This window comes from Homo sapiens, chromosome 4, assembly GCF_000001405.40.
Source record: "Homo sapiens chromosome 4, GRCh38.p14 Primary Assembly".
NCBI lineage: Eukaryota > Metazoa > Chordata > Mammalia > Primates > Hominidae > Homo > Homo sapiens.
In genome coordinates this window covers 185,270,849-185,290,152 of record NC_000004.12, presented here as the reverse complement: position 1 = coordinate 185,290,152, position 19,304 = coordinate 185,270,849, and the positions used below count along the sequence as shown (strand labels likewise).

Sequence of the window (19,304 nt, the reverse complement as noted above, 5' to 3'; positions counted from 1 at the left end):
ATCAAGTTAAAATGAAGTCATTAGATGGGCCCCAGTGCAGTATGACTGGCATCCTTGTAAGAATAGAAAACACAGACATGAAGGAAAGACAGGTACAAAAGAAGGACAATGTGAAGACACATGGAGAAGATGGCCATCTGCAGACAGGGAGAGGCCTGAGGCAGGTCCTTCCTCACCGCTCTCAGAAGGAACTACCTTGCTGACACCTTGCTCTTGGGTTTCCAGCCTCCAGAACTGTGAGAAAATTAATTCCTGTTGTTTAAACCACCCAGCTTGCACTTTTTAATGGTAGCCCTAGCAAACTAATGGAATAACAAAATAAGAAAGGTATTTTGCTGACTGAACTCAAAGAGGGGCACTAAAAAAGATTACAGTGGCAAGGCAGCACACCTCTCCAGTGTTCTCTTTCAAACAATTATCCATCTGTCTGGAAGTGAAGCATCTTCTCTGCAAGAACAGTGATAAAAAGGAGAGGAACAGAGTCCACACTCTTGCAGGAATTCATCAGATCAAGTCTCCTTAGCTCAAAAGCCCATTTAAAGACGTCCTCATTCAGAGTAAAATCCCAAGTCCTTGCAGTACCAGTTGGGCCTTTGTGACTGGGTTCCCTGCCGCCTCTCTGAGCTCGTGTTTGGCTTCTCTCCCTTTCTTCAGCCCCATCAAGTTTCTGCATCAGGATTTGGCACCTGCCCTTCTCCAGATACCCCCAGGCTTCCAGATGACTGCTCAAAGCCCACCATCTGAGTGAGGTCTTCCCCAACTAACTGAATGCAGAATTAGCCTCCCCTGCAGCAGAACCAGCACTCCCTACCAGGGCTCCCCGCATCACAACTTTGTTTTTCTCCAAGGAACATGTGACCACCTGAAATAACACATATTTTTTTGTTGATTGTCTGACTGCCTCCCAGCCTAGTTTAGGGAATCGGAATGCAGAGGTTTTGTTTACTACTGTATCATTATCACTCAGTAGGTGCTCAGTAAACACTGCTGAATGGACATATTTGCACAGGCTTCCTTACAGGCTGAGCTGAGGAATCAGTGCCTCTTCATAATCTATACCTATATTTGCTTTGTACTTGCTCCTACCTTCTGTCAGGCTCAGGGAGGCAAGTCCAGGTCCAAGTCCCCAGCCCAAGCTTCCTTTGCCTCTGTGTGCTCATGAGAAACCTGAAAGCATGCTTTAATGTCTTTGGCCCAACTCTTCCCCGTTCTTTTAGCACTCTACTCCCTCTCCTTGGCGGAGACTTGAGCAGGCCTGGAGGTTTTTGTGGAATGTCTGTTCTCCAAGGTGAAAGCAGTGTTTGCTGCCTCTGAGCTGCAAAGCCAGACCTGCTCTGCACTCTAGATTTTAACACGTTCTCTACCTTTGTACATGCAAAGGGGAATATTCTAGCATCAGGCAAACTACAAGGGAGTTGAGAGCCATCCTCACACCTTAATTATTCTTTGGTATCATGCCTGGGAAAGAATCTTACTTCACTGGAAGAGAAACAAACAGGAAGAAAAAGATAGAGCAATATATATATACACCACCCCCCCACCCCCCAACAAAACCTACAACACAAGAGTGAAAAGAGAGAAAAAGCTATTAGCAATCCAATGCTTAAATAAAGGAAAAAGATTTTATAATTCCTTAAAAAAAAGCTTAAAAAAGGAAAATAAGGAAAAGATTAATTATGAAATCTCAACTTATTGGAGTCATTTAAATGACCATCAAGATTATGTTTCAAGATAGAAATATTAAATTTCAATATGTGAAAAAAAGTATGTAATCATGTTTAGTTTAAAAACAGAACAGAAACATATACTGAATGATTTTAGCCTTCTAAAAATTATGACTGCAGCTGAATAAAGTTTATACGGGAATACAGAAATACAGACAAAGGTTGTTGTTAGGATGAAATTATATTTACTTCTCTAATACTGTAATAGTATTGTTTTTAATAAATTGAAATATTTAAATGTAAGCCAGAAAAGCTCCTATTTGCCAAAGATCTGACAGGTGGGAGAAGGCCGGGGATCAAGCTGACCTTTCAGATGTGGAACTGAAGAAAACAACCTGGCTCTTACCTTTGTGCCTCTTCAGTTGGGGAAAGCTGCTAATTGTAGTCGCCTGGATTATTTCCACTACAATTTGATACCTGATTTTTAAAAAGAGAAAAGAAAAAGATTTAAGAGGAAGAAAATACTATTTTCAGAAATAACTTTAGACTGTATTTATACTAAACAAATGTAACACAGGAGCTGTGAATCCTGCCCAAGGCTCCATAAAATAATCCGACATAGACCGAGCATCTACAATAGGCCGGGCCCCATGCCACGCGCTAGTCATTCTGAGGCCCTCACGTAAACATCAGGAGCCTCCTCACTTCCACTCTGTTCCCTATACCAGAAGCATAACTACCTGTAGAAACTCTGAGGTTATGCTCAGCCTCCCTCTCCTCCACAATCCTAGGTGAGCAGAGCTAGCTGATTCTACTTCTTACATTGGCACTGTCTAATAAGGTGATCATGAGCTACATGTGGCTATCCAATTAAATTAATAAACGTTTAGTTCCTCAATCACACTAGCCACATTTCAAATGCTCCACGGTACCTGTGGGCTTGTGGACCACACCGGGCGGTGCCAAGTAGAACATTTTCTTCACTGTAGAAAGTTCTACTGGATGGTGCCGTCTTAAATAGTTCTCAGAACTGCCCTCTCCCCTGCAGCCCCACTGCCCTGCCTGAGTGCAGCGCCTCATTGCTTCTCATTTAGAACACGGTCCCAACCCAACAGAATCAAAATATCTGCACCAGGACTCGCATCAGTATTTTTAAAGCTCTCCTGGCAATTCTAAGGCACACGGAGAGCTGAGAAGCATGAGATTAGAGCACCAGCTATATATATGTGTGCCTAAGAAGACCTCCAAGTCAGGAAAAATAAACATAATTCTACATTTTAAGTGCTGAGTACAACCCTGGAGTTGTAGCTATTTTGAGCATAAATTCAATTGGGCTTTACAAATCCAAATTCTTAAGAGTCCTTTAATGGTTACTAAGTATTGCCCTAATCAAAGTGGTTTATCCTGAGTGTTTCTTAGCCCTTAATTATATGAATTAATTAATTTCATCTGCTGGTAATAAAGTTCTTTAACATTAATTCTTACTTTGAACAAAAACCGTGCAGTGTTCTAAGATTTAATGTTACATCTGCTGGCTTTTAGAGCACACAATTACATACATTCTTTTGCTTTTCAACTAAAACCCAGAGGAGAGACAAATTTATCTTAGTCATAGCTACTCATGGACTCCTCACAAATTTGCACCTTATTTTTTCATTTGGATAATATAAACATCAGTGGCTGACTCTCAGGACCTCAGAGCAGGCTGTCAGGAGCAGTGTTGGCATGCCAGTCAGAGATGGTGGCAGACACTGCCGGCTGCCTGCCCAACGTCCAGTCTCCCTTCCTTCCTTGTTAAGTGACCTACAGTTTTATCAGGGAAAGTGACATACCCAGCTAAAAAGACTAGCTTTCTTCCCAGCAGTCAGAGATGGCCAGGTGATACCATTCTAGCCTTGGAGACAGGCAGGAGTCACCGGGTAGGGATTCCAGGAAAGCAGGCTAAAAGCAGCCTCCGCAGAAAAGCCCTTTCCAACTTTAGTCCTCACCCTTCCCTCATTTTTCTGTGTAAAACAAGGATGCAACTGGATAAAGGCACAACAGTACCTTACAATCATGAGGGTAAAAGCCACAGGCCAGGCCGGGCACAGTGGCTCACACTTGTAATCCCAACATTTTAGGAAGCCGAGGGAGGATTGCTTTGAGGCCAGGAGTTCAAGAGCCTAGGCAGTATAGTGAGATCTCATCTCTACAAAAAATTAAAAAGTTGGCTGGGAGTGGTGATGCATGCCGGTAGTCCTAGCTACTATGGAGGCTGAGGCAGAAGGATCAATTGAACCCAGGAGTTCAAAGTCTCAGTGAGCTATGATTGCGCCACTGCCCTCCAGCCTGGATGACAGAGCAAGACCCTGTTTCTTTAAAAAACACATAACAAAACAAAACAAAACAAAACAAACCCCAAAACAGAAAAAGGCCAGGTGTGGTGGCTCATGCCTATAATCCCAATACTTAGGGAGGCTGAGGTGGGAGGATTGCTTGAGCCCAGGAGTTTGAGACCAGCCTGGGAAACAAAGGGAGACCCTGTCTCTACTAAAAATAAAAAAAAAAAATTAGCTGGGCATGGTGGCGCACACCTGTAGTACCAGCTACTTGGGAGCCTGAGGCAGGAGGATCACTTGAGCCTGGGTGGTTGAGGTTGCAGTGAGCTATGATTGTGTTACTGCACTCCAGCCTGGGCAACAGAGCAAGACCCCGTCTCAAAAACACAAAAACAAAACTACAAGCTAAGGATGATGCAGTAAGAAGACGGGAGGAGTTCAGGGTTCCAATTACATCATGAACCATCAAAACAGCCCCTAACTACCAATCTCAGGACATGTGGTGACATGGGGAAAATAAACACCTGCCTCATTTAAGTTGCTGTATGTCAAGCTGTCTTGTGGCCAAATGCCACTCCAACTGATAGAGAGCTTTCTGAGGAAGACTTGACGTGCTTCCACACAGCAATTCCAATCTCAAGTATTTATCATAAGGTAACAGTTTAACAAAAGAAAAAAATCAAAATGAAAACCCAAAGCCCAAACTATCACATACATGTTTGTTGTAGCAAGTTCTACAAAGAAACGCACGAAAATACTCATGGTCAATAATGAGTATGGCCAATGATGCTTTCATTAAACAAACATTTCTTAATCTTTTCTTACGTTCCAGACACACAGAAATGAACACCACCAATATGGTCCTTGCTTTCAGGACATATCAGATTAAACAGAAAGCATCCAGCCAGTAATATTTATAATAATAAAGATTACATGAAAATAGATGTTTATGACAGACTAATTTTTAAAATGAAAAATGGCACATACATTTATGATTGCAGATATGTATCTATGTGTATATATGAGCCAGGGCTACAAGGCAAAATAGAGATGAAATGAATGGCAGTTGTGTTAAAATGGTAGACTTATGAGTCATTTTTAACTTTTTCTAAGCTGTTTTATCTATGTACCTATGTATCTAAGCCTATTCAAGCTAAACTAACCTTCTTTCTTCCATAGTAAGGTTTCCTTACCTTTCCGTTTCTCTACTAGTACCATCATCCTTCTCAAAATCATCTTAGGTATATATACTACTAATAAACATCAGTTTCAAAGCCCCACGGATGGTCCTTTGAATGCCTCTAAATAAGCTTCTTGCTTACACTACCTTCAGCTACCATTGTTTCAGGCTGCCTTCTTTCCTGAGTAGGTCACTGCAATGGCTAAATGGCCTGTCTCCCTGACTTCAATCCTCTCTCCCATCCAAACCATCCTGAGCACCTGTCAACACACCCTCCTATGGGAACACTCACCTCATCTCTCCCTTGTTTACCTCCTGCACCTCCCCAAATGAATAACCCCACATTCCTGCCTACGTTCCCTTCACAACTTGGCACTGGCTCTACTATCCAACAACTTCGTTTTTTTTCTCCCTATGAATGTGAACCTAATTAAGCCAGGCTGGTTTCTATATTGCCCTCTCAAAACTACAGTCTCATGCTTTGTTTCCTGCTGGAAGGCAGTCTTCCTACTTGTCCACCTACCTAGATCTTACATATATTACTTCTTCCCTCAAGTCTTCCCCATCCCTATAATGCACACCAATATCTGTCTTCTCTGAAATCCTGAATGACTTCTGCTCTATAATAGTATCTATTTACTCTTTCATATTGCTGTTTTAAAGAGTCACACTTCCACAAAGAATGCTGTGAACAAAGAAAATGGTGTGCCCAGTCATTTCAAGGCCTAATACACCTTCAAAGAATGTTGACACATTTTCGAGCCTAAGAATGTAGACTGAAAACTACAAAACCATAGTTCTGTGTATAATAAAGATATGCTACTTTTTTCACCCCAACTAGATCAAGAGTCTCTTAAACACAGGAGTTCTGTCTTATATTCTCCTATAGTACCTAGCTTGGCACTAAACATATGGTAGGCACTCAATAGATATTAATGAGCTAAATTAACAAGAGTCAACATTTCTAACACTTAACAGGTAAAAATAATATTCTGAACAATTTATTCTTTTGATATTCTTTGTGATTCATGCTTTGGAACAAATGAGTCATCAAGGGTACCAAAGAAAATACACACCATCTGACTAAAGAGTTAAAGATTTTTTTAATGAAACCATAAAATTATAATGTAATACCAGCAAACATTCATAGATTGTACTGGGTACCTGTTTAGATATTTTAATTTACATTATCTCACTTAATCCTCATAATAAGGTGCCAGAATTATGTCCACATTACAGAGAAGGAAATTAGAATTCAGATGATTATGAGATCTATACAAGGTCTCATTGCTTTTAAGTCCTAGAGACAGAATGACAATCTAGGGCTGCCTGTCTTCTAAAGCTCATGCTCTAACCATTTTTCTGCTACTCTAAAATACAATATAGGTTAATACTTATCTTCTCTAGGGTTTTTCTAAGTACGTAAGTATGGCCAATGCCAGATCATCTTTCCAGCTTTACTGCCTTCTATATCCCTCCTGCATACTGTTTCTGCCAAACCAGACCATACGTGATACCATGAACACACTCCAGGTCTTTCCTGACTCCCTTCTCAGTAATATTTCTCCTTCTCCTTAACAGTACTCCTGTTTCTTCCTGCACACCATCACTTCCCCTTATCTGCTGAAATCCTGTTAACTCTTATTAAACACTCCATGCATGGCCATTCCTCTCTGAAGCTTTCTTAAGAGTTCTCTGCTATAGAATAAAATATTTGCTCCTACCCACTTCCTTGGTGCTTTACACTCCACTTCCAGCCTTAGGATCTTGCTTCCTACTTAGCTACTTATAGTCACATGGGTCTCCTGTGAGGAACTGCAAACACTTGACAGCAGGGGGTGGAATCCAAGGAGTGTAACCAGTTCATCTTAGTACTCACCAGACCTTCTGACACAGCACTTTGCACATAGTGGGCATCTGAAGATGATTACTGAATTTGTTTAATTCACTGTTACTGGATACCGAGAGGAAATGATTGACTTTCTCATTCTTGTTTTTTTCTCAACAAAACTATACAATATATACATCCAAACACATCCAAATGCTGGCTATCCATGAGGACACGGGGACACGGGCTTCCAGAGTTACCTGGCACTCACTCGGTTTTCTTTCTCCAGAGGAGGATACGACTTTGCAAGTGCTGAGTTCGGTTCAAGAATCAGGAGGGCTGATGTTTGTACGCTTTCCCTTGATCAAAAGTGCACAGATTGTTGGTATATGTTTTGCAAAATGATAATGTAAAGTCAAGTATTAGGGAGGAGGGGCATAACAAGAATTCAGCTGCTTTCCAACTCTGGCAAGATCCTACCTACAGTATCCTTTGTCCCAGTGACAAGGAAAAGCCACACAAAGATAACTGCCATCTGCTCCTCAGAGTGGCCACCTCATCTCTCTTTGGTATTTTACAAGTGGCTAAATAAAAAGAGCAAGTTTGTGTTTCTGAACACGTCCCAACAATCTCAAACTCACTGAAATGCTACGCAGCACTTCAAAGTCATCACCTTAGATAGTTACAGATTTGAGGCCAGGCAGGGTGGCTCATGCCTGTAATCCCAGCACTTTGGGAGGCTGAGGTGGGTAGATCACTTGAGGTCAGGAGTTCAAGACCAGCCTGGCCAACATGGTGAAACTCTGTCTTTACTAAAAATACTAAATAAATAAATAAGCTGGACATGGTGGCGGGTGCCTGCAATCCCAGCTACTCGGGAGGCTGAGGCAGGGGAATCGCTTGAACTCGGGAGGTGGAGGTTGCAGTGAGCTGAGATTCCGCCGTTGCACTCCAGCCTGTCCGGACATGCACATGCTGTAATTTCATGGCAGAGTCAAAGGCTGGCCAAACCTTAGTCTCAGGTATGCGATGTGATAAATGGTTTAAAACACTGTTTTATAAAAATTAGCAAGATTATGGAGAATACCATACACATTACGAGTGCTTATGAAAAACCAAAGAATTTTTATTTTTATTTATTTATTTTGAGATGGAGTCTCGCTCTGTTGCCCAGACTGGAGTGCAATGGTGCAATCTCGACTCACTGCAACTTCCACCTCCCAGGTTCAAGCGATTCTCATGTCTCAGCCTCTGGAATAGCTGGGATTACAGGTGCGCACGACCATACCCGGCTAATTTTTGTATTTTTCGTAGAGATGACGTTTCACCATGTTGTCCAGGCTGGTCTTGAACTCCTGACCTCAAGTGATCTGCCCGCCTCAGCCTCCCAAAGTGCTGGGATTTCAGGCATGAACCACCGCACCCAGCTTAAAGAATTTTATAAGAATGTTTTCAGAGTTGCCACAGGCTAGGAATGTTTTTGTTAGAGGGACTTCAGTTATAGAATTTGTGAAGAAATAAAGCCATGATGCTTTTAGCCAGCTAAGCTGAAGTTTTTTCCCATCCATGGCACTACTAAAAGGGACTGCTGGATAAATGAGAAAGTGTATCAGAGTAGTAAAGAATGTGAGCTCTCACAGTGGATGGCCTGTGTTCAAATCCTGTTTCTAACACACACTATGTCATCCTGGGAAAATGATTTAAGCTTTCTAAAACTAAAGCATCATCATTTATAGAAAAGAGTAATAAGAGTAATTTTTCTTTATAGGGTTGTTATACACATTAAATTAGATAATACCCTTAAAAATCTTAAAACACAGTCTGCCCCGCAGTGAGAGTTCAATAAATGTTCATTATTATTCTTCCTTAACACAGTTACTGAGTCTTTAGATATGTACTATCTAGGGAAATGGTACGTATACATGTTTGTTAAATATGTATAAATTTGAAGCAGCCTTATTTTTTCCTGATTACAGAGCATTTTAGCCCAATCAACCTGAGACCACCAAGATCACTCTAGTCCAACAAAATCAGGTCAACTGACCCACATAAAGAGCAAGAGACAGTGTAGCAGTGGAAGCTGTGGGGCGTCTCTCCAAACGAGGGAAAAGGTAACATTACTATGGGATTCTAGGGAACAGTGGAGTGAAGGTGAAATTTAAATGAAGCAGCATTTTGATAGGCCCAAGACAGGGCTGTGTAAAGCGGTCAATGTTGGGTGGATCCAGGGTCTCGTTTCCTGAAAGCTGCAAGATAGATATACTGAGTCCAGAAACCCCATAACTGCGGCTCTGCATCTGGGTCGTAAATCAAAGCTGCTTCTTTGTGTCAAGCTGACTTAGATCACCCAGGCAAAAGTAGAATCTGTCATTCTTACTGACATAATTCCAAACAGGAACTGGCAGTTGAAGATTTTTGAAAACAAAGTTTCTCAGTGAACACGAAAGCACAAAGAAGGGTATCATTATGACATTTTACTGCCATGGCAGGTACTTAGGAGAAATATTGTTTCCTGTTTACTTTGTAGGTGGCTTTAGTGTCTGTTATACCAGCCTGATAAATGGCTGGGCAGATTTTACTTTCTCAGTCTGCACCAGTTTTTACTTTCTCTAAAGTAGCATATGTTCATTGAAGAAAATGAGAAAATATACAAAGCACAACATTCAAAGTTAACCACTATTAACATTTGGACTATCTTTATAACCTTTTTCTATGCAAACATAATTTTTTTGTTTTATAAAACTGGGTTTATGCTATACATATTGCCTTAGAGTGTTTTTTATTAATTTATAATTAATATTTTCCAGCACAATTAAATATGCTAATGCTACACCATTACCAATATATGGTATTCCACTGTATAGATACACCAAAAATCTTTTTAACCAAACCCTTTTTGTTAGGCATTTTGGTTATTACAAGCTTTTCTCTACTTAAATAAAACTGCAGCATGGTGTGGTGGCTCACGTCTGTAATTCCAATACTTTGGGAGGCCAAGGTCGGTGGATAGTTTGAGACCAGCCTGGGCAACATAATGAGACCTCGTCTCTACAGAAAATACAAAAATTATCCTGGCGTGGTGGCATGCTCCTGTAGTCCCAGCTACTTGGGACTGGGCTGAGGCTGAGGTGGGAGGATTGACGGAGCATGGGAGGTCAAGGTTGCAGTGAGCTGTGATCGCGCCACTGCACTCCAGCCTGGGTGACAGAGTGAGACCCTGTCTTAAAAACACAAAACAAAGCACAGAAACAAGCAAACAAAAAAAACAACAAAACAACAACAACAAAAACTACAAGCAACATTCTTGGAGAAATCTGTCCATACATGATTATTTCCTTAAAAATAAATTATTATGAGTCATAAGTACATCAAAAAGAATGCCCATTTCCACACTACAAAATTGTGTCACAAAAAGGTAATAATTTATACTCCTCCCAACAGAACACAAGGTTCTATTTTCCTACACCCTTGCCAATGCTAGTTAACAAATTTTTAATCTTCACCAATATTATGAGCAAAGAAAAAATATCTCATTTTAGGGTTTATGTCTCTGAGTACTACTGAGGATAAGTACAAGGTTTTGCGCTATATTTTCATGAGGTATGTCCAATGGCATTAAGCAGGGAGTGTCAGGAGTAAAATAGTATTTTAAGTTAGGACTTAGAGTTATGAAAGGCTCTTTCCACTAAAGGGCTTTTAAAACTGTTTTCCCATCTTTTTAGTGTTGCAGAAGGCAGTTAATTCCACAGAAAGACTAAGGCATGCTTCCCAGTCTTTTTCTATTCATAGCACATGTAGAAAATTATATTTGAACAGAACACTGAGGTAACCAGCCATCACAAGGCCACCCCAAGGGTTGAGGAAACCATCTCCACGTACCTACAACACTATTTGAGTCACATCAGGTAGGAGGTTCTGGACCGGAGCAGCCCAGGGTGAGGTGTCCTGAACTTAGGAAATACACATGCACACCTGTCTCCCTCTCCCCATATAAAGTTATAAAAATAGACATATATAATATGTATATAATTATAAAAATATATATACAATTTGGAAATATATTAAGTATAAATGGTATTTATACATTTCTTAATCTTATCTATATTTTTATCTTCCTAAAATAAACAAAAATGTTACCATATATTCATTTCCTAGTTCCCAGAGCCTACAGAAATTACATGTTACAGAAACAATCAAATCTATGTCACTACTGGCTAGCTGGTGCCTTTTAGATAACCTCAAAAACGCCAAACATTTTTGCTGTGCTATCCATATCTATTTTCTACTACTGTTCCTCATAGTTTTATGTCAGCTGTTAGTATGACTATAATGTTTATTTATACTCATACGTATAGCACCATTCGTATATGTTTCATTCTCAATTCTTACATTAAGCTTTTTTATTCAGAATGTTTACTGAATATCACCTTTAGTTGACTAGTTTTATGTTCTATATTGAAAATGTCCTAATGGCTTTCTCCTACATTTTGAGTGAACTTTTTCTGAAATAAGACATTATCTTGTAGCTTCATCTCATCCATTAATCCTATTAAAGTCAGGATCTGAAAGTGTATTTACCTTCTCCCGGCAACTGCTATTTTTTAGCTCTCACTGAAAGACTACTATGATCCGAGAACTACATTCATTCATTCATTCATTCATTCCATGCGTCATTTCATTTAATTATCACAACAATCCTAGGAAGTAGGAAGTATTTTCTCCATTTCACAGTTAAAACTGAGGCTCGAAGTTTAAATGACTTTCCCAAGGTCATGCAGCTTCAAAAAGCAAAGCAAAAATGCAAACCAGGTCTGTTAAGTCCAGGTCTGTCTGACTCTTGAGCCCAAGCTCTTGGCCAGGGTCTACCTGAGGTGCTTGACTGATTGCCATAAGTTGACTTGCATTGTTAACCGTCCTCCACCTTTGGAAGAACTGCATTTCTCTACAGTACAGGGTCATTGAAAGACAGAACATGTGGCTACCGCTTAGTGATGTGCAGGAGCCAGCCCTGAGGCTTGTGCCACCTCATGAGACCTGGCTGCTAAATATTTAGAAATTAAACACATCATTACTAAAAATTAAATTATACAAACTTACAATTAAATAAATTTTATTTTTTAAAAGGTAATAAGGCCGGGCGCGGTGGCTCACGCCTGTAATCCCAGCACTTTGGGAGGCCGAGGCGGGCGGATCACGAGGTCAGGAGATCGAGACCATCCCGGCTAAAACGGTGAAACCCCGTCTCTACTAAAAATACAAAAAATTAGCCGGGCGTAGTGGCGGGCGCCTGTAGTCCCAGCTACTTGGGAGGCTGAGGCAGGAGAATGGCGTGAACCCGGGAGGCGGAGCTTGCAGTGAGCCGAGATCCCGCCACTGCACTCCAGCCTGGGCGACAGAGCGAGACTCCGTCTCAAAAAAAAAAAAAAAAAAAAAAAAAAAAAAGGTAATAAGTACTCAAAACTCATCATTTCCTAATAACTTTATTCATTAGTTTTATTATTACATATGCTTGTGAGGTTATTTACATCTTTTATGTCAGTATTTTGGAAATACTCTATATACTGTAATGGTGTGCTATTGCAAATCTCTCCCCAAGTCCACGTTCAGTGACGTCATGCTGGTGGCTTTAAATCGGCCATGGCGGGAGTATTAACACCACAGAGATCAGCAAATGCCACAGTCAGGGTTTCTCACCTTGCCCAAAAGCCAGTTGTTGAAAACGACCAGCACACATCTTCTACCACTCTTCTCCACCGTTCCTTCAACAGACCTTGGGAGTCACAAAATTCTTTTCAGTAGGGACTTAGCACCACTTTTTTTCTTTTTTAAAGGAGAAGATGGCCCAGGTTCAGTGGTTCATATCTGTAATCCCAGCACTTTGGGAGACCAAGGTGGGTGGGTTACAAGGTCAGGACTTCCAGACCAGCCTGGCCAACATGGTGAAACCCAGTTTCTACTGAAAATATAAAAATTAGCTAGATGTGGTAGCACACGCCTGTAATCCCAGCTACTCGGGAGGCTGAGGCACAAGAATCACTTGAACCCGAGAGGCAGAGGTTGCACTGAGCTGAGATTGTGCCACTGCACTCCAGCCTGGGTGACAGAGCGAGACTCCTTCTTGAAAAATAAAAATAAAAAAGGGGAAGAGCATTACCCACCCCCAACTCTTGATGCTTCATTCCATACATAAGAAGCCTCATCTCTGGCCCTTCTCAACCCTTCGCCTACTCCTCCTTAGGGCAAGAGGAGGCTTTTTATCTGATCACAGAAAGACAAATGAGCATGTGGAGAAGCACAGCCTTTCTTTTTTCCTTCCTCTTAAGGGTGTGTGTTCTCTGCCTCCAAGGGCAGCCAGCAGGTGGATCCTGGACCTGCCAGGGAGACAGGGCGGCGGGGAAAGCATGGTCAAGGAGGCTTATTCTGGTCCAGCATTGCTAGATGGGAAAGATGGTTTAATCCTGAGACTATTTATTTTACCTTTAAGTTTTTTTAAGAGACAAGGTCTCACTATGTTGCCCAGGCTGTTGCTCAAACTCCTGGGCTCAAGCCATCCTCCCGCCCCAGCCTCCCAAGTGTGCCATGACACCTGGCTCTGAGGTTGTTTTAGAAAGCATGCTGCTTGCTTGCACATATAGGCCACGTTCTCCATTATCTATTAGTAATGTAAGTGACATTTTGGTCTTGTTTGTTTTATTCTTTGGCTTTAAAACGGTTCCGACCTCGGGATGGGAGGAAGAGTGTTGTTATTTATTGGAGCTTCTCAAACCCCAAAAATAAATATTGCACTCCAGTTGACCACTAGAAATTGATCACTGTTCACAGTAAGATTAAATCTATTTGCTATCCTTGGTCTAATGATCATAACAACAACTACAGTGGTGGCTAATAGAGGGAAATGTGCCATATCTTGAGTTAAGTACTTTATATAAACTGACTCACCCTTACTCATTCATAAAGCAGATATGCATACCTCAGTGCAGTGTTGCTCCAACTACAAGAACATAATAAATTCAGAGATCATAAACTTCTTTATACCAACATTTCCCCTTCTTACATCAAATTTTATATTGCTGCCAATACATAATTATCCTTCTTGCTAAATGAAAATAATGTGTGTTCTCTGATATGTGCCCTCTGCTATTTCTCAGACACCAACTGAAGGAGGTATATTCTGAAGTCAATGAACTTTTCTCATAAAACTGAAAGATCTTTTAGAGTATTTTTCATAAACAGCCTCACATTTTGAGTTTTTTTGGAACTAAATTTATATTCATTCATTCTTTTCATAAAAATCTGCCAGGATTCTTTTTGTTTTATATATTATGATTTTTCATCTCCTTGTCCACCCACAACTAACCTTTTCCTTGGCAGTTTATATGTGCTCACTGATTGCTGACATGATGTATTAGTTTGTATGGAGGTACACTTGATTTCTTATTTCATGTTCCTTTACAACATAATCCTATTTTACTGCTCATGAGTCACAATGTATTTTCAGAATCACTGTTCAAAACACTGAACATTCAAATAATTTAAGTTCTTCAAAGAAGCATGCTATTTTAAGAATTTTCATGTTTTAATACATTATCTTCATGTGCAAGCAGACCTGAACTAATTCAAAGAAAAAAATCCATTCCTTTAATAGCTAAAGAGAAAATAAGCAAAATAGAAAGCTCCATCAGTAACCCACTTTATTGTTAATTGCAATCTTTTACATTAATTAATTAATTATGCCCCTTTCCTCTTGCTTTATCCTAGTAAAACAGAAACCACCACCTTAATCTCATGTATTATCTATGTATTAGATAAAAAATCTTCTTTTCTTCTCCAAGCTAAATAATCCTTAATCGTTTGAATTTTAAACCTTTCAGCCATTACTAAAATTCCCTCTCTACTATTTTCAGATTCTCCATGTTGATCTTCAAATGAGGGGTCAGAAATAAACAAATCCAGAACTGAAACATCGAATAAAGACTAGATCGGTGGTAAATAAAATTATGGCAGTAATAGGCTGCTCTGATTTTCTTTATCACTACCTGCCTCTCTGGCAGTCTATCACTGTCCTAATAATAGCTGTCAACACTTCTGATGTTATTATTTGTCCTCTGTGCAAAGGTTTAGTGCCAGCCGAGACTCACAAACAGTAAAGGGTTATCTCCACACTTGAAGAAAACCCCCAAAAGTTAGAGCCCTGTGTCACTGCTGTTTTCTGCCCACCTGGCTAGCAAGTCACCCAGCCTTAAATATGGGATTTGAAGTCAGGCCGACCTCAGTTCAAATCCCAGCTCTGTTGTTTATTATCTATGGGATCCTGGGCAAGTCAGTTTACTTTCTACAACCCTAAGAAGGGAAAAAATACTACCTAATTCATATGCTTGTTATAATGATCAAGAAAGATGATAATTATTAAGAATCCAACACTGTGCTTAATACATAATAGATATTCAGCACATGGTAGCTTAGAAAACAAAGTTTTCTCCTCTTGAGTATTTGCTTGGCATCTCTTTAACTTTGGCAAAGAGTTCGAGTCCAGGAAAGCTGCATGTTTCTCATGCTTGTGTGGGAAGTAGAGCTATTCTGCCTCACTAAACTATCCATGTGCTATGGCAGCAAAAATGGCTGCTTGCATATCCCATATCCATTCTTCCTGCTTTCTAAGTAATAGAATCCTCTATTTTTTAACTAGGTCTAAGGCTGCCCAGAATAAAATTACCCATCATATCTCAAATGTTCTGACCAATAAAATAAAAGCAGAAATACCATGCAGTAGTTTCCAGAAAGGTCCTTAAAAGACAGCCAGTGTTGGCTGGGCATGGTGGCTCACGCCTGTAATCCCAGCACTTTGGGAGGCAGAAGCGGGTGGATCATGAGGTCAGGAGTTCGAGACCAGCCTGGCCAATATGGTGAAATCCTGTCTCTACTAAAGATACAAAAATTAGCCAGGCGTGGTGGGGCGCACCTGTAGTCCCAGCTACTCAGGAGGCTGAGGCAGAAGAATCGTTTGAACCCGGGAGGTGGAGGTTGCAGTGAGCTGAGATTGCGCCACTGCATCCCTGCCTGGGTGACAGAGTGAGACTCCATCTCAAAAAAAAAAAAAAAGCCCGTGTATAACCTTGTCATCTTTTTTCCTTGCCTTCAACCTGCTTGCTGGAATTAGGATATGATGGGTGAAATTCTAGAATCCACCCTGGACCATGAAGACTCTGGACTATACTCTCAGGATGGCAGAGCAGTGAGCTGGAAGGAGTCTGGCTCCTTGAGAAGGATGGAGCCCCCACACCACAAGTCCCGGACTGCCTGCTTTACTATTCAGCCTTAACAAAGAAGGAAATCCTGCCATTGGCAACAATGTGGATGAACCTGGAGGACACTGTGCTAAATAAAATAAGCCAAACACTGCATCATCTCACGTACATGTGGAATCTAAAACAGCCCAACTCCTAAAAGCAGAGAGTAGAATGGTGGTTACCAGGGGCTGAAGGTGGGAGGGAGATTGGAAGATGCTGGTTAAAGCGTACAAAGGTGAGTAACTTCTGGAGAGCTAACACACAGCATGGTGACTACAGCTGGTAATACTGGGTATGATACACTCGAAATTTGCTAAGAGTTGATCCTAGGTGTTCTCACCACACACAAAAAATGGTAACTATGTAAGGTAATTGATATGTTAATTAGCTTGCTTGTGGTAATCACTCCACAATGTGTACATACATCAAATATCAGCCAGGCATGGTGGCTGACCCCTGGAATCCCAGCACTTTGGGAGGCTGAGGCAGGAGGGAGGATCCCTTGAGCCCAGAAGGTCAAGGCTGCAGTGAGCTGTGATTGCACCACTGCGCTCCAGCCTGGGTGACAGAGTGAGACCCTGTCTCTAAATAAATAAATGACACTGTACACCTTAAATATACAGAATTTTTATTGGTCACGTGTATCTCAATCAATCTGGGGAAAAAACTGCTATACTTTGGATGCCATCATTATTTGGGAGGTTTTTGGTAACCTTCAGCTGAACTGGATCCTAACTAATTTAAGTACCTCCAATCTATTCATGGGTTTAAGCCAGTGGCTCTCAACCAGGTGCAGCTTTTCCCCCTAAGACACTTGGCAATGTCCGGAAGCATTTTGTTTGTCGCAACTGTAAGGGTACAGCAGAATACCACTGGCATTCAGTGGGTAGGGGCAAGGCATACTGCTAAAAATTCTACAGTAAACAGAACAACCTCCCACAATAAAGAATTATCTAGCCCCAAGTGTCAATTTTACCAAGGTTGAGAAACCTTAGGTTAAAAATGTCTCTCAGGAAGGTCAGTGAGAAAACACCCTTTGTTCATTGCAATAAACGTGGTAAAAGAATGAGGTATCCCGATCAGTCAATATTCTCCTCAACAGAGTTTCCATATATCTCAAATAGTACAACCAGTTTTCAAATAATTAGGGTGCAATGAATTATACAACAGGATGTCTAGTCAAGACTTCAGATGGGAAGCAGGTGGAAGAATACTCCATTTACAAGAGAATCTCAATATTAGTTGCACGTTACGATCACCAGGGGAGCTTTTTAAAAATCCTGATGCCCGGATTCCCCTCCAGACCAATTACATAAAAATTCCTAGGGGTGAAGCCGAGGCACCTATTTGTGGAAGAACAAACCATTTTCATTAGCACACAGTTTACAAATGCACTGCAGGATTACACAATGCAGGCAGCAATGGATGTTTTCCTGGGCCACAAGCTGTCCGCGCATTTATAAGAGGTTCTGAAAGGGCAAACCTTTCATTTCTACTGTAATGTTTGCTTTGACCCCACTTTATCTTGAAAACAAGGGAACACTCAGTCTATTCTCTAGTTTAATGGCAATTGTGAGTTTCACTAACAGATGCACCTTCATTCTGAGCTCTGGTTTGCCTTCCTTGATTGTGGCATCCCTCACCACCTACACCAACTGTGGGAAACCCATCCAGCTGCCCTTTAATATCCGGAACCAAGGTGGCATTCACATTTTTGGCTCTTGTGCTATTAGCAGAGTCAGTCACTGCTCCTACCAGAAAACCATGGAAAATTCAAAATATCACACCAGTATAGCCACCACATCTTCACTTCAACATCCTGCATCCAGAAAAGAAGACAAAGGAAAAGCTACAAAAGCTAGTGGAATATACAACTTACTTTTTTAAAAGGTCTCAGTGGTTCTGACATACAGCCTAGGTTAAAACCACTAATTTAGTATATTTGAAGGATGCATTTCTAGTTCTACTGTGAAAGCACTTCATGCTGATTCAGAAAATAACCAAACTATTCCAGAACTACAAATATCACCTTCAAGGTTTTTTGTGTTTGTTTTTAGCGCATTCCGCCCTAACAGAGTTGAATGACTTCATTTCCTTTAGAAAATACGCATCTCTCAAATATGTAAAAAATAAAAGTGGATAGGTACATCAACTGCTTAGTCTAAATAAAACACATTACCTGCCTCAGGCAGCCTATCCCAAAATTGTATTGAGAGCAATTTGAAGATAGTAATGTAAAACACCAATAAAGTCAGATAGCAGAGTACTATAATTGTACCAGAAAAACAACAGAATAGCTCAGTCTATGAATTAAGAAAACAGTTCCAGGCCGGGCACGGTGGCTCACACCTGTAATTCCAGCACTTTGAGAGACCGAGGCGAGTGGATCACTTGAGGCCAGGAGTTCAAGACCAGCCTGGCCAACATGGCAAAAATTAGGCGTGCTGGCGTGTGCCTGTAGTCCCAGCTACTTGGGAGACTGAGGTGGGAGGATCGCTTAAACCCGGAGGCAGAGGTTGCAGTGAGCTGAGATTGCTTATAAAAGGATGCAACCTAATTAAGTCTGAGAATGTATCCCTTTTGCCTCTAATAGACTAGTCACCTGTCAAGCTCGATTATCTAATCCAAATACCTCCAAGTGCCCTTCCCACTGACTCTGCAAACTCTGCTGGAAACACAAAGCCTAGTAGTAAGAAGGAAGACAGAGGAATATACAACATACAGAACAGGAATAGTGCACAAAAGGAATGCACCTTCCTGGTGCCTGTGTCCCATCACTCCTTGGCAGCGGTGGGTACGCTGTGGCAGGAGGCCATACTAGGAAGAGGTTAGGAACTGCAACATTTTATTTTACTCTCACTTGTAAACAGTCACTGACAACGTCACTGAAGATGCTCAACGGTCACTCAAAAGGCATCCTTTAAATGGCAGACAATCCAACTTGCCCATGGACCGGTGAAAGGATAAAATGTGCTATATTCATACCATGGAATATTATTCAGCCAAAAAAAGGAATGGGGCACTGAT

At 41.0% G+C, this 19,304-nt stretch overlaps 1 protein-coding gene across 11 annotated transcripts in view; it reads right to left on the bottom strand.

Moving 5' to 3' along the window:
• The window catches only part of SNX25 (sorting nexin 25), a 174,406-nt gene that overhangs the window by 88,490 nt on the left and 66,612 nt on the right, over positions 1 to 19,304 (bottom strand). For 10 of the 11 annotated variants that reach the window (NR_186775.1, NM_001317781.2, NM_001423234.1 and 7 more), the window contains exon 6: positions 2,071 to 2,141. Coding sequence is in view for 10 of the 11 variants with exons in the window: in NM_001317781.2 (NP_001304710.1) it covers positions 2,071 to 2,141 (71 nt within the window). In the remaining variant the exon portion in view is untranslated. Of the gene's footprint in view, positions 1 to 2,070; positions 2,142 to 7,250; positions 7,350 to 19,304 lie in introns of all 11 variants that reach the window. The other variant, NM_001378032.2, reaches the window with a different exon arrangement.